Source organism: Homo sapiens, chromosome 9 (assembly GCF_000001405.40).
Source record: "Homo sapiens chromosome 9, GRCh38.p14 Primary Assembly".
NCBI classification, from domain to species: Eukaryota; Metazoa; Chordata; class Mammalia; order Primates; family Hominidae; genus Homo; species Homo sapiens.
Genome location: NC_000009.12, coordinates 16,729,857 through 16,744,837, shown reverse-complemented (window position 1 = coordinate 16,744,837; position 14,981 = coordinate 16,729,857). Strand labels below are relative to the sequence as shown.

General features: G+C 40.1%; 1 protein-coding gene across 28 annotated transcripts in view, besides 1 other annotated feature; it reads left to right on the top strand.

The window, feature by feature from the left end:
* BNC2 (basonuclin zinc finger protein 2) overlaps window positions 1-14,981 on the top strand; it is a 461,168-nt gene that overhangs the window by 125,833 nt on the left and 320,354 nt on the right. For 17 of the 28 annotated variants that reach the window (NM_017637.6, XM_047423512.1, XM_047423488.1 and 14 more), the window contains one exon: window positions 6,353-6,478. The exons of the other annotated variants lie outside the window; for them this stretch is intronic. In NM_017637.6, coding sequence (NP_060107.3) covers window positions 6,353-6,478 — 126 coding nt within the window. The remainder of the gene's footprint in view (window positions 1-6,352; window positions 6,479-14,981) is intronic. 28 annotated transcript variants of the gene reach the window in all.
* Window positions 14,142-14,689: an enhancer, noted in NCBI's record as "OCT4-NANOG hESC enhancer chr9:16730147-16730694 (GRCh37/hg19 assembly coordinates)". NCBI's record gives its function as "activates a minimal SCP1, AML or CMV promoter by ChIP-STARR-seq in naive H9 embryonic stem cells {active_cell/tissue: H9 hESC(naive)}" and the evidence as "EXISTENCE:reporter gene assay evidence [ECO:0000049][PMID:30033119]".

Sequence of the window (14,981 nt, the reverse complement as noted above, 5' to 3'; positions counted from 1 at the left end):
TGAAATGCTATAAGCTTTCACATTTTACACAGTTTTTCTGATAAAGCTCAGTGAGACCAGTGTAAAAATTTCACAGGGAGTTTATATTTCTCCTTGCCACAAACTAGACATCCTGAGCTTTGGGGCCAACGTTGTCTGTGTCCAAGGGCAAAAGTTCTCTTTCTTCTCATTGTCATATTTAAACCCCACCCATGGAAATGCTCCAAGTCCTGAGTGATGATCCCTTCCTCTGGGCAAGGGTATGAAGAATAAAAGTAAATCTAGCAGGAGGAGTAAATCCCAGAAGACAGAGATAAGTACTTGAGGTCAGAGACTGCGTCTTTTATAGTTTGTCTACATACCAAACTCATTAATATGAATAATCATCTTAGCAGTACTGGTTGTAGTAGCAAAAGTAATACAAGAAACCAGTCTTCTCCTATATTTTTACATTAGCATTCATTATTTGTAGGATTTGGGAGGTCTTTTTGAGAAAGTGATGTGAAACTAAGTCTCTCCCACGTTTTTCCTTTAGTTCCACTTTTTCATACCAGCATAAAATATTTTTCAACCTTAAAAACTGCAGTCTAGGCCAGGCGTGGTGGCTTACGCCTGTAATCCCAGCACTTTGGGAGGCTGAGGCAGGTGGATCACAAGGTCAGGAGATTGAGACCATCCTGGCTAACATGGTGAAAACCCGTCTCTACTAAAAATACAAAAAAAAATTAGCCGGGCGTGGTGGCAGGCGCCTGTAGTCCTAGCTACTCGGGAGGCTGAGGTAGGAGAATGGCGTGAACCCGGGAGGCGGAGCTTGCAGTGAGCAGAGATCGCGCCACTGCACTCCAGCCTGGGTGACAGAGCGAGACTCCGTCTCCAAACAAACAAACAAACAAACAAACAAACTGCAGTCTGTAGGAATAAAAGTATAAGATGGTAGGGGAAAAAAACCGAGAATAGTGTGAACAAAATCTATGTATTTATCCATTTAGGTTTTTCCCCTGGGGTATTTTGGAATACCCTTTGACACCATAAGCCTCTTTATGGTTTACTCACTTGGTATGGAATGGGGGAGAAAAAAGGAGCCAGTCCATCTGGCAGTATTCCTCTCAACACCCTATACCCATCATGTGAATGGAAAGAACCCCAAACCTTCATTTTCAGAACTGTATCTCAGCCTCTGGCTCCTGAAGAAAACCAGTGTGGTTCAGATGTGGGATGGGAAGAGTGGTTTGCATTGGCATCAGCCCTGCGGGTGCTTTGGGGCTGGAGCACACACAGCTGTGGGTTACAGATGCTTGCTCTCCGGTATTAATGTGGCCAACATGTGAAACCATGACACCCACAATACTACACAAAGGTCCACGCCTCTGATAGTTTGAGAAATAACTCCGTCTGAAGAAATTCCTTTTTGAAGGCCTAGAATACATTCTAGAATGGAAGGTCCTCTTTCAGAGGGGTAGAACCAGGAAAGAGATGCCTTATAATGTTGGACAGAGCACAGGGTGTCTGTAGGCTTAGGAGCTTTAACCAAACATGGGGAAAAAAAAAAGTAAAAAGTCTCCTCTAAACCTTAGATTAATAAATTCGAAATTCTGTGCTATGCATGTAGCAGAAAGCTTGTACACTCAAGTCATCGTGTAGTTTCTTTGGAGATGTCAAATGCAAGCCATCGTTGGTGGTTGTCATCTGGCCTGACTCAGGGTGTGTTAGAAATGTTTCCACCGATTTTTATTTCCCTGAGCTGTCTCCAAGGATGGTAGAACCAGAGGAATCTATACACAAGAGAAAAGAAATGAGCATGGGTTCTTGGTAATTTAATAACTAGGACTCTTTTCAGGGTGTGGGGATTTTGTCCTTTCTCACTCATGAGGTCCATGCTTCCTTCTGACAGTACACTTGAGAGAGCTGAGATGTTTCCATCCCCCATTCAGTTAGTGAGACAGTTTTCTCATTCAGGTACAATTTCCAGTGAAATAGTAGCTTATAAGTATCCAGAAGTTAGTTTATTGACTCTTATTGCACTTCTGAGCACCTAATAAATAATTTATTAGTCTGATGGATATGTGGCTACCTAACTATGGGGCATGAAATATGCACTGTTTTTCTAATATACTGTAGGGAGACCTGTTTATAAAGTATTTAGTATTGGTTTTATAATGCACTGTTGACAACAGGAGACCACGAAGCTCAAAGATCAATCTCATTTTGGCCCACAGTATTAATGCTGCTTTATAAAGCTCTATGACAGGTCACTTAGACAGTGGTCTTCACAGAAAGGACTCTGTTAGGAAAGCAGGCTGTAGGGGCTGCTAGTATAGTAGATGAATGTCTTTGTCTGTGTCCCTAAGGTGACTCTGGCGGTTGCTGATGTTGGCCAGGTGATGGAACCCATCATTTCCCTGCTCTCCAGAGGGATTCTGGACTAGAAGTGCTGAGTTCTGCTAATGCAGACCTTGCTAATTGGGCAGAAAGCTGGTGTGACTTTGGACCACAATTGCAGTTCTGGAGACAGAAATCAGGCAATAAGGAGTGGAACTTGGCTCTCTTCAGCTTTGTCTTATGTTTATTAATGAAGTGAAATTATTCCACATCTTTTATGCCTTTGTTCAAATCACATAGGTGACATAGCATAAAGTATTTTGATTTTTGTTGGCTTTGGGGAATTTCCTAGCCAGAAATAAATTCATAGACATTAGACCACTACATACTAAACACTTCGAATTTGGGAAAACCTAAACAAAGACTAAGTAATTTCATCCAAAATCAATTCTCAGTGTTTTACTTTATTTTCTTCATAAGAACTATACACTATGAGAATGCTGCATAATGACAATGATTTATATCATACTATTGCCCATCAAGGTATACGTGTTGTTGTCTTTTTTTTTTTTTTTTTTTTTTGAGATGGAGCCTCACTTTGTCACCCAGGCTGCAGTGCAGTGGCGTGATCTCAGCTCACTGCAACCTCCACCTCCTGAGTTCAAGCGATTCTCGTGCCTCAGCCTCCCAAGTAGCTGGAACTACAGGCGTGTACCACCACACCTGGCTGATTTTTGTATTTTCAGTAGAGACGGGGTTTCACCACGTTGGCCAGGCTGGTCTTGAACTCCTGACCTCAGGTGATCCACCTGCCTTGTCCTCCCAAAGTGTTGGGATTACAGGCGTGAGCCACCGCACCTGTCATGGTGCATGTTTTAGAGCAAGGTATTTTTCTCTTTGTGTCCAGAACTCCTTGCTGGTTCTAAGTATTTCACTTCCCAAACTGGGAACTCTGAGCTATACTTTCTTGGACCCAGTCAGCTTGTTTATTATTTCTCACGCTTTTGTGGGAACCAGGCTGAGTTCTACTATTTGCCATTTCTGTTACTCATTTCTTACTGATTCAGAGTTTCATTTTTTTTTTTTGAAATGGAGTTTCGCTGTTGTTGCCCAGGCTGGAGTGCAGTGGCGTGATCTCGGCTCACCGCAACCTCCACCTCCCAGGTTCAAGTGATTCTCCTGCCTCAGCCTCCTGAGTAGTTGGTATTACAGGCATGCACCACCATACCTGGCTAATTTTGTATTTTTAGTAGAAACGGGGTTTCTCCATGTTGGTCAGGCTGGTCTCGAACTCCTGACCTCAGGTGATCCGCCCACCTCGGCTTCCCAAAGTGCTGGGATTATAGCAGAGTTTCATTTTACCCTTTCCAGTTGGACCCAATGTTTTCTTCCTTCTAGTACTCCTCGATTCCTTCCTATCATGTCTCCCTTAGCAGATAGCCCCATCTTTAACTTTCCTCAGATGATTATTTTGTTCATGTAGCTGTTATTTATTGAGCACCCTGTTAGACCCTGAATTAGGAAAGATAAATTCTGTCTCTTTTAAGAAGTGTACAGTTTAGTGGAAAAAATTGGTAATAAATTGGTTTTCTAACATGAGCAGTTTTAATATATGTATTTCTTAACCACAGATTTTTTTTCTGTATCTCTTACCTTTGGTTTCTGAGGGAAAAAAAGGGTTTCTTTTTTCTCCCTCCAGGGGCACCCTTTTCATTTGTGCTCTTGATCATATTCTCTCCTCGGACCCTTTCATACCATTTTCCCTCTGGCTTAGATCTTCAATATCGTTTTCTCTCTTGGCTTCATCCCCTTTGCCTGTGATAGTCTCTTTTTTCCCTGTAGTGAAAAACAAACTGCCAACTTATGAACACAACCTGTCTGAGCTCCTCTAACTTTTCAGACCACGTTTCTCTTACTTGTTTTCTTTGCAGAATTTCTCCAAAGAATGTTTTATCTTTTCTGCTTCTTTGTCTTCACAATTTGCTTACTTCTTAACTCCTCTGCAATATGGATTCTGTATACCTATCAGTCTACAAAGACATTCACTCTTATGACACAAAGCCTAATAAAATATTTTAGCCACAAATATACATGAATGTTATGTTGAACACTCATTGACCCGAGTTTAGGAACTAATAATGTACAAACACATCTGAAGACTAGAGTTACCATTTAAATTATACTGTGTCAGTCACTGTCAATCTCCCTATCTGCCTTTCCCCATTTTCCATCCTTAAGCACTATTCTGATTTTGGTATTTATTATTCCCATGCCTTTTGGTTTGCTCTTACTGTATTTGCTTCTACTTACTATTTCACTTGGTTTTAACCATACCCTAAATATAAGTCTTGTTGTTCTAGATCATTTAAAACTCTCAAGCATCCTATCTTCTGTCAACTGTTTTCCCTTATCAGGTGGAACGTTGGACAATCACGATGCTCCTGTTAACGCTGTTCCTTCTGTCTTTTCCCCTAATAACCATGGATATCCCCTGAGATACTAACCTTGGCCACTTGTTTTATCTCTTGTTTCAGGTCTGTGTAGATGGCTGCTGGATGTGATAACTTCAGTATCAGTCTGTTTTCTAACATTTCCAGTTGCCTGGTTATCTGCATGATCTGCTGTTCCCCCCATACTAAACTTGCTATATATTCTCACAAACTAGTTCATCCCCCTTTCTGTTGATAATGCTACCATTTTCCTGTGCTCAGACTATTAGAACTTTAGTGTCATTGTTGACACTTCTCATTTGTTACAGTCATTCTGGTCCCCTTGATTTTATCTTCACAGTATCTTCTGTATCTTGTCCTTTTTTTTTTCTCCAGCCGTATTGCCAGTAATTTACCCAGATTATTGACTGATTGATTGAGATGGAGTTTTGCTCTTGTTGCCCAGGGTGGAGTGCAATGGCACAATCTCCGCTCACTGCAACCTCTGCCTCTTGGGTTCAAGTGATTCCTCTGCCTCAGCTTCCCAAGTAGCTGGGACTACAGGCATGCACCACTACACCTGGCTAACTTCTTTTGTATTTTTAGTAGAGACGGGGTTTCACCATTTTGGCCAGGATGGTCTCGAACTCCTGACTTTAGGTTATCTGCCCGCCTCGGCTTTCCACAGTTTTGGGATTAGAGGCGTGAGCCACCATGCCCGGCCTATTTTAATGTCTTCCTAATTGGACCCTGCTTTTGTCTTTTCACACTTCAGTCCATCTGTCATACTGTTGCCAGATAAATCTTCTTGGAGCAAAATAATGATCAGACGTTACTGCTGTTGAGAAGCTTTTGGTAGTTTGGACTGTTGGTAGATAACAGGCTAAATAGCAACTCTTTGTAGTGGAGTATAGGGCCCTTACTTTTATAATAGTTCCTATCAACCACTGCATCCATTTCATTGATGGTTCTTCTATGTACATCTTCCCTTATGTTCCAGTCAAACTGTATTACTTCTCTAGGAATATAATCTACGCTCAGTGTGAGAGTGCCTCGGTGTAGAAGCTTTTTTTTTTTTCTAAACCATACTGGCTGGAAGGGATCTCTAAGTTGTATGGAATTCTGCTCTTGTTTCTTTTCCTATTCTGTTTTTGTTAAGGTTGTTTTGTTCATAGCTTATCTCCTGTACTAGATTGTAAACTTGTGAGCAAGGAGTATGTCTTAACTTTTGTGTTCTCCACAGCTTCTTATACTTGGCAAGGGAGCGGGGCGGGGGGCTGGGGCGGGAGGATGGGGGTGGGGGTGATTAGTATTCCCTAACAGCAGTTAAAAGTGTCATATTAAGTGGAAGAAAAGGGAGTAAGAAATTGAGCTAGGCAGGGCAAAAGTGTATCCATTATCAATCAGCAAATTATTCAGTTATTCCCACTTTGTTACTTTAGTTCTCACCAAAGTTTATTTAGCTGTTGGCTACTATCAGCCTTAGAAACTATTAACTCTTAAAAAATGTGTTTAGTTGGTCATTGGTGTGTTATATTTGCAATTTCTTAAAGTTTTGATGTACTCAATGCTTTTAAGTAATACTGTCTGGGCATATGTAATTTCCTTTCCCAATCTCTCAATAGGCACACCTTGGGCCCACCCCACCTCCACATAGCCTTAATTACAAATCAGAGGACAGGCTTAGTGAGCAAGACTGGCCAGCATATTTCAAGGTCCCATGTTGTGGGGTTGATACATCTCAAATTGAGGTATGTTGGTTTTTTTTTTCCCCCTTTAAGTTACTTGGACACACTTGCATTCTTTGATTACCTAGTTAAGATATATCTCTCACCTCTTCTTTCTGCCACTCTTTTACTGTCTTTCATACTTATCCTCATTCTATGAAACTCAGGTATTTATTTGCTTCCTAACACTTCTTGCCTCTGAAGAAATAATTGAAAGTAGATTTAATGATGGTTATTTGAATGATTTTGAACGTGATAAAGTATCTGCCTTCTATTGTTTCTCTCCCTGCACTTACTTCTCTTTTCCTTTTTCTATTCTTTCTTTCCTATTGTTCTAGGGCTAGTTTATTGTTATCACTATTTTTAATAATAATACTATATTAATAGTGTTAGTAGTAAACTTTTAAAACTGAAGTTTAACATACTTACAGAAAAGTGCACAAATAAAAGTGTATAGCCTGATAAATTTTACACACTGAATATACCCAGGACCACCAACTAGATGGAGATACATAACACTACCTGAACCCCAAAAGTGTCCCTTAGCCCAGCCACTATTCTCCATCAAAGCCAATCACTATGCAGATCTTCTAAGGGACCTGTTAAGTCTTCGTATTTTTAACTTGCCATTAATAGGTTTCTGGCATCTTTTGGGTTTCTTCATTTGGAAAACAATCTCTAAGTTCATGAACATTTGCTCTGTTTCAACATTTTTCGATTTAAATATGTATGTATATAAATAGTCTCTATCAAGGCCAGTAGATTGCTTGAGAGTAGGAGTTCCCAGACTTGCCTGGGCAACATAGCGAGACCCCATCTTTAAAAAAAAAAAAAAGCCAGGCACGGTGGCTCACGCCTGTAATCCCAGCACTTTGGGAGGCTGAGGTGGGTGGATCACGAGGTCAGGAAATCGAGATCATTCTGGCTAACATGGTGAAACCTCGTCTCTACTAAAAATACAAAAAATTAGCCGGGCGTGGTGGCGGGCGCCTGTAGTCCCAGCTACTCGGGAGGCTGAGGCAGGAGAATGGTGTGAGCTTGGGAGGCGGAGCTTGCAGTAAGCCAAGATTGCGCCACTGCACTCCAGCCTGGGCAACAGAGCGAGACTGTCTCAAAAAAAGAAAAAAAAAAAAAAAAAAAAAAAAGGCCAGGTGTGGTGGCTGAGGTGGGAGGGTTGCTTGAGGCCAGGAGTTTGAGGTTCCAGTGAGCTATGATTGTGCACTGCACTCTAGCCTGGGCGATAGAGCAAGATCCTAGCTCTTAAAAAATAATAGGCCGAGCTGGGCATGGTGGCTCTCGCCTGTAATCCCAGCACTTTGGGAGGCTGAGGCAGGTGGATCTCCTGAGGTTGGGAGTTCGAGACCAGTCTGACCAACATGGAGAAACCCTGTCTCTACTAAAAATACAAAATTAGCCGGGCATGGAGGTGCATGCCTGTAATCCCAGCTACTCGGGAGGCTGGGGCAGTAGAATTGCTTGAATCTGGGAGGCGGAGATTGCGGTGAGCCGAGATGGTGCCGTTGCACTCCAGCCTGCACAACAAGAGTGAAAGAGCTAGGCAGGCCAAAAGTGTATCCATTATCCATCTCAGAAAGAAAAAAAAAACAATAGGTCGGGCCCAGTGGCTCATACCTGTAATCCCAGCACTTTGGGAGGCCGAGAGAGGCGGATCACAAGGTCAGGAGTTCGAGACCAGCCTGACCAACATGTTGAAACCCCGTCTCTACTAAAAATAAAAAAATTACCCAGGCATGGTGGTGTGCACCTGTAATCTCAGCTACTGAGGAGGCTGAGGTAGAAGAATCGCTTGAACCTGGGAGGCGGAGATTGCAGTGAGCCAAGATTGCACCACTGCACTCCAGCCTGGGTGACAGAGCAAGACTCTGTCTCAAAAAAAAAAAAAAGAAATAATCATAATAATAAACAATAATAATAATAAATAGTCTCTGTTTCTATAAAAATTTTTGAAACTTTAAGTATACTGGGATTTTATTTTTTAAGTTTATTTGTTAGGTTTGTAAATTGCATATGAAGGAGTATCATTTTTAGTGTTGCTTTTTCCTGTGATAATTCTAAAGGCAGTGTTGAGTTTCTCAATAATTTTGTAAGGTACTGAACTCTGCCTTGCAATATGGTTTTCTTTTTTCTTTCTTTCCTTTTTTTTTTTTTGGAAACAGAGTGGAGTGCAGTGGCGCGATCTTGGGTCACTGCAACCTCTGCCTCCCAGGTTCAAGTGATTCTCCTGCCTCAGCTTCCCGAGTAGCTGGGATTACAGGCATGCGCCACCATGCCCGGCTAAGTTTTGTATTTTTAGTAGAGATGGGATTTTGCCATGTTGGCCATACTGGTCTTAAACTCCTGTCCTCAAGTGATCCACCCGCCTTGGCCTCCCAAAGTGCTGGGATTACAGGTGTGAGCCACCGCACCTGGCCTGCAACATGATTTTCTTGGATGTTGGTGAATCTCAATCTTCTTTTCTGACAGTAATTTAAACCATTATTATGACACCTTTACTGAGGCTGCAAGCTTCTTGGTCCACAGACTTTAGAAGGAAGTAAATAAAGAAATTAACATTATCTTGGCTGGGCATGGTGGCTCACCCCTGTAATCCCAGCACTTTGGGAGGCAAGGCGGGCAGATCAATTGAGGCCAGGAGTTCAAGACCAGCCTGGCCTGGTCAGGGTTTGGTGAAACCCCCTCTCTACCAAAAAATACAAAAATTAGCCGGGGGTGATGGCACACGCCTGTAATCCCAGCTACTCGGTAGGCTGAGGCAGGAGAATTGCTTGAACCCAGGAGGTGGAGCTTGCAGTAACCCGAGATCACGGCACTGCACTCCAGCCTAGAAGACAGAGTGAGATCCTGTCTCAAAACAAAAACAAAAAACAAAGAAATTAACATTACCTTTATAATTCTTGCAACTTTCATGTTCATGTTAATTTCCCGTTGTGTGCGCCCCCAGCCTGTTTTTTTTTTTTTTTTTTTTTAAATTCATTTAAGTAAAGCCATCACTGGTTCTTTCCTTCTAGATTTTCTCATAAAACATTGAATATAGGTTTGGTATAAAGAAGCCACTGTTACTGTTTGGACTTGAGAGAAGATTAATAAAGTCACTTTTCTTTTTTTAAACCAAAACAAGGTAGGTAAAATGTTTGACCTTTTGTAGGCACAAGATTCATGCTGACCTCAGCTGCTTTTATTATCTGCAAATATCTTGAGTCTAAGGATTCATCATTTCCCTAACATTTTGTAAACTACCTCATCTACCATACCCTACTCAAATCCTTTTATTTTAAAATTTTTGTAGTGCATCAAGGGATTATGGCTTTTGGATATTTCCTTGATGTGTTTCTATGAAACTGAGCCCCTGATTAGGCTGTCAGCAGATACTGTATTACATTGATTGTTTTAGTTGGTACAGACACACGTGTCAGCTAGAGCAGTTTCTCCCTTTTGCTGAGAAGGGTGAAGCTTTTAGATAATATTTAGTTATGGAGGATGTTTGTGCCACTGTTTAAAGTGATTTGACCCTGTGTCCTCCTCCAACCTTAAGTTAGAAGGCCTATTTTCCTCTATTGGTCTAAGGGCATGTAATGAAGTCTTCAGCACACAAGCTTTCTCCCTCCCTGTAGGTGAGTGGTTATTATTTTTTCTTTTGTCACGGGCTTGGATATCATGTTCTTATGTGTAAACACTGGACCATATAGTACTCACAATACTTTGGCAAAAACCAAACTAACTGAAAACTGAAGGCATGCCTTTATGTCTTATTTCCAACTTGGACCATGATCTTGCCCCTTGAAATCTTCAGGCTGTTTTGATGAAGCCTTCTGTATGTTGAAATGCCCAGTCAAGGTGGCCAGAACCATCTGGAGAAGGTAGAGTTGTAAATATGAAGTGACATGTATAATTCTAATGGACTCTTATAATGAGAGGGGCCAGTGATTGAGGCTGGCAATCAGAGATGACACAAGCTTTTTCCTTCCTATTTGAATCTGTAAAGACCCTTAAGAGCACTTTGAATTTGTTCATCTATAAGCTGTTAACCCAAATTCATGTCCCAGGTTTTTAAGAGAATAAGCAATAGAATATAGGCGTTTCCAAAGAGGAAGACGTACAGAAGCAGATAGGTGTATAGTTCATTCATTCACAGATAGGCACTAGGTTAGATCCAGTAGTTGGCGTGCATGCATCAACATGTTAATCGGAATTAAAGGCTGCTACATTTAGGCTTGGCTAGATCATCTATAAATTGAAACCCAAAAGAGAATTGTTAACTAGGAAAGTAGCTGTCCAGGTTCCTTAAAGTTTAAATACAGGGATCCAACTAGTATTCTCCAAAATTTTTCAGGAATATCAGACTTTACTGCTGTGGAACACTTGGCTGTTGTAAGAGGAGTGTTTCATCTCTCATAAGGATGTAATGAAAGGAAATTAGGAGCCAGTGGGAGAGTGCAGGGACTTAGGTGTAAATCATAGGTGAATCTTTTTTTTTTTTTCAGATGGAGTTTCCCTCTTTTTGCCCAGGCTGGAGTGCAGTGGCGTGATCTCGGCTCACTGCAACTTCCACCTCCCAAGTTCAAGCGATTCTTTTGCCTCAGCCTCCTGAGTAGCTGGGATTACCAGTGCCTGCCACCATGCCTGGCTAATGATAGGTGAATCTTAATTGTGAAGATGAGTACCTTTATGAGTAGAGATGGCTTCATATCAGAACTTTATCTTACAAGCTACTCTTTACTCTTCCTCTTTCTCCCCGCTCCATGCCAACAGAGTTAATGTAAGCATAGTAGAGTAATATTTCATCTTTGTGTGTGTAGTTTTCTTTTTTTTTTGGGCGGGAGGAGGTGAACTTTTTACTGTCTTTCCATCTATTTACATATGTGAGTCCAGGGAAAACAGGCAGCTTAAATTATGATATAATTTTTTACAAAGGGAAAACCTGAATTGAAATTATTGTTTTACTTCTTTTCTATTCATTTCTTTACAGTGAGTCAAAAATTTTTTCCCCTTAACTTCACATAGAAAATGAAACTTTACACAATAAAGTAAGGATGGCAGGTTTCACAAGGGAAAAAGCTTGCTGTCAACTTCTTTCCTCAGGAATATGGAAATTTGGGTGGATTATCTTTTCAGAAGAGGTTTCCTTTATTACTTCTTTTTTCACTTAAGACATCTGTTAACATTTCACACAGCCCAACAGATGTTGGAGAGCAAGTCCCATACTTTGTTCTCAAGAAAAATGACATTTCCTTAGTTGGTTCCCCCACTTCTGTGACTGAGTCCAGCCTGCTGCATAATTTGCATATATTAAGTTATATACCTTAATGCCATATGAATTTGTATCTTCAGCATTATTTTTACATGGTAAAGTCTGGTTTGATTAGAAACTAGTTTACATGTTGCTGTAGAATTAAGAGAGGGCAAAACATTTTAAAACTCTACTTCGAGAATGGCAACCTGAGTCCACATATAAGATTGGATAGCCAGTTTTTAACATTTTTTTCTATAAAATAAATGAATTACAAAAGCTTGAGTTGTTTCGCCATAAGGAAGTGCTGATTGTCATGCGATGTGGAGCGTCATTTTTATTATTTTGGCAAGAACAGGGACAGTTTTGTCTTGACAAGCCATTAGATGAATACCAGCGTGTGTCACATGAAAAACCACTGATCTTTAACCCAGCTCTGTACTTAACCAAGCCTTGAAAATGAATAGTGAATAAAAGAAGAGCAAAGGCAGAGCACATTACAGATTATAGAATCTGTTAACAGTTGCTGAACTCAACCCAGGGAATTACAGGTATTGTTCTGTGAACCAGCAGAAGTTCTAGAGATGCTTGTTAAATTGTATACAAAAACTACACATTTATTTTATATTTGTGCAGGATTTACATTGTTGGAGACAGAAAAAATAAAAATCCTAGAGTACTTTCTCAGTGCAGTAAATGTATGCTTTCATCATAAAATCATATATATTTACATAGAACTCAATGAGGTTTTTTTGCCTGCAGTTACATAACTTATTTTATGAAAGCAATGTGCTTTTAAAGAAATTAAGTAGAAAGAAGAAAACATAGGTTATATCCCCTTCCCCTCAAAGAAAACACCCTACAAACATACATGCAAAACAAAATTCTTTGCTCACTTGCGTTTTCATGTATTCATTGTGGCTGATTTTTTACACCAACATAGGTTTTTTCTTTTTTGTTTCTTTTTCTTTTTTTTTTGCAGGAAATGGAGGGAAAAACCCAAAACCCACCGTAATACTCAAGTACTGAAAAGATCAGTAACATTTTAAACGGTTGTGGGAATTATTGCTTACAGAGCTAACAAGAAAGAACACACTTTTTTACTCTGCTGGTGGAATTGCATTGTGCCTCCCTATAGTCTTGTTATCCCACACTAACTGAAATGCAAATTTTTTGTAACTAATTGGATCTCATTGAGGGTACATGCACAGTGTGTAGTTATATGCAAAAAGGTTTTAAAAAGTAAAATTTTCCTGCAATTACAACTTTTAATTACTATCCAAAACATGGTACCTATAGCACAGGTTTAGAATATATATGTCTGACTTTTTTACAGATTACTCAAAAACATGAGCTATGAAATGCTTAATAAGGTGTCAGCTCGAAAGTTACAGGGAAAATGTTTAATTACAGCAGTCTATAAATTGAATTTTACTATAGTTATGTGAAAATAAAGATTTCTTTTTAAGTTCAGGATTTAGTGTATTAGAGCCAGTATATGAAAGGCATGTTATAGTGCATTCCTTTTCTTGGAAGATTTTAAACGTTAAAACATCATCAACATCAGAAGTCACTTTCAGAGCCATTGCCTTTTTTTCCCCTTCAGTTCTCCAATCTATTTTACCATTGTAAAATGCTTTTGAGTTTCTTACTTTGTGTAAGTATATTTCTACTTATGTGGTGTGGTGTGGGGGAAGTATTCACATTCACACAATGTCTTTAACTTGGATGCAGTGAAACCTAGTTTGGTGGACTTCATAATTTCCATGGTCCATCTCTCACTATCAGTAAATGTGGGAAAGCCAACAGATGGCCTTTAAGTACTTCTGATTCTTTAACCTGAAATACTCAGAATCAGCAGCAAAAAGCAATTATTGTGGAAGTGATACTTGTCTTCTTCCTTCTAGTTTTAAATAATTTTCATATAAATGATTCCAGAGAGTTATTCCATAATTGTCAGACTATGTAGCCAGTGAAAAAAACTCAGAAGACATATTTGTGCCTTGTAGGTGTATTTTTTTGTACCTGTGTCTGTAAAACGATACAGATGTCCCACTTGCTAGATAGAAATTATCCTAATGTCAAATGTTCTACACAGTATGTTATATGTGGAAGTTCAGATCATGTATCTTGGGGATTTATAGAGGGATTAAATGTTCTTTTCAAATATTTATTTTAAAATGAGTGTTAGAGAAACTTAAAATCTTATTTATTATTGAGTCTGGATTAATTGTTGTCTCTTTTTGTAACAGAGCTTGTCCTCTTTGTAAATTTGTGTTACAAAGTAGTTAAGATTTTGTTTGAGCAAATCCATTTAGCAGGTGCAGTACTGTATATTTATGAAAAAATATTTTTTAAAACTTAGAAAGATATCCTGCTGCTTTTAAGGCTCGTGTTGTGGCAGTAACATGTTATATTGCAGACGTGTTTCAGCCAGGGCCACCTCAGTCCATGATATCTGAAGGAGCTCAGTTTGCCTATACTGGGTAGCATTTTGTCAGAAGACTGCTGGCTGGGCAGACTAGATTTGGATGTATTAGCTAGTCAGCCTAATAACCCTGTACAGACTGTATTGATTTTCTAGGAGAGAGTTTATGAACTAAATAAACTTGGGGTTGGTGTCTTAATAAACTGCTTCTCTCAGTCTGTCACATTTAGTTACGGAGCTGTGCAGTTTAGGGGGAAAAAAGGCTAATTCTGTTACAGATTGTTCACAGCAGGGTCTCCAAATTAGCCCTTTGTTTTGTAATGCCACCTTGCTTGGGCTTGCTTTGAGCACATTTCTCAGTTTTGCCCTAATGAGTTGCAACACTGATAATGTGGCTGATGATCTTTCATTGATTTCACTATCACTTGCTTGTCTGGTAATTGATCCGTTGCTGAGCCTCTAGTTAATTATATCGGCTTTGACATGGCCCGGTCCACGGGGAATTTCAAGTCTTGCAGAATAACAGTTTTAATAAAAGAGTCTATTACTGCAGGTGCTTGCTGCTGCATGCCAGTTGATTTTTGTGTTGTTAGTGTGTGTGTGGGGTGTTGGGTAGGATACCTGGGAAAGAAGAGGACTGCAGGACTGAGAAAAAACGGGGTGGGGGCTAGAAAAAGAGGAAGAGGGAGTGAAGGAGGGGGAGAAAGAGACAAGGAGAGGGCGAGTGAGAGGCGAGAGAGAACACAGGCAAAAACACACAGGCAAAGCGATACAACAGAGCCTGAGTGGAAGGAGGAGGAAGCTTGCTATTGACAGTGTCCTTAAGCCTCCCACAAATAACAGCCATTAGT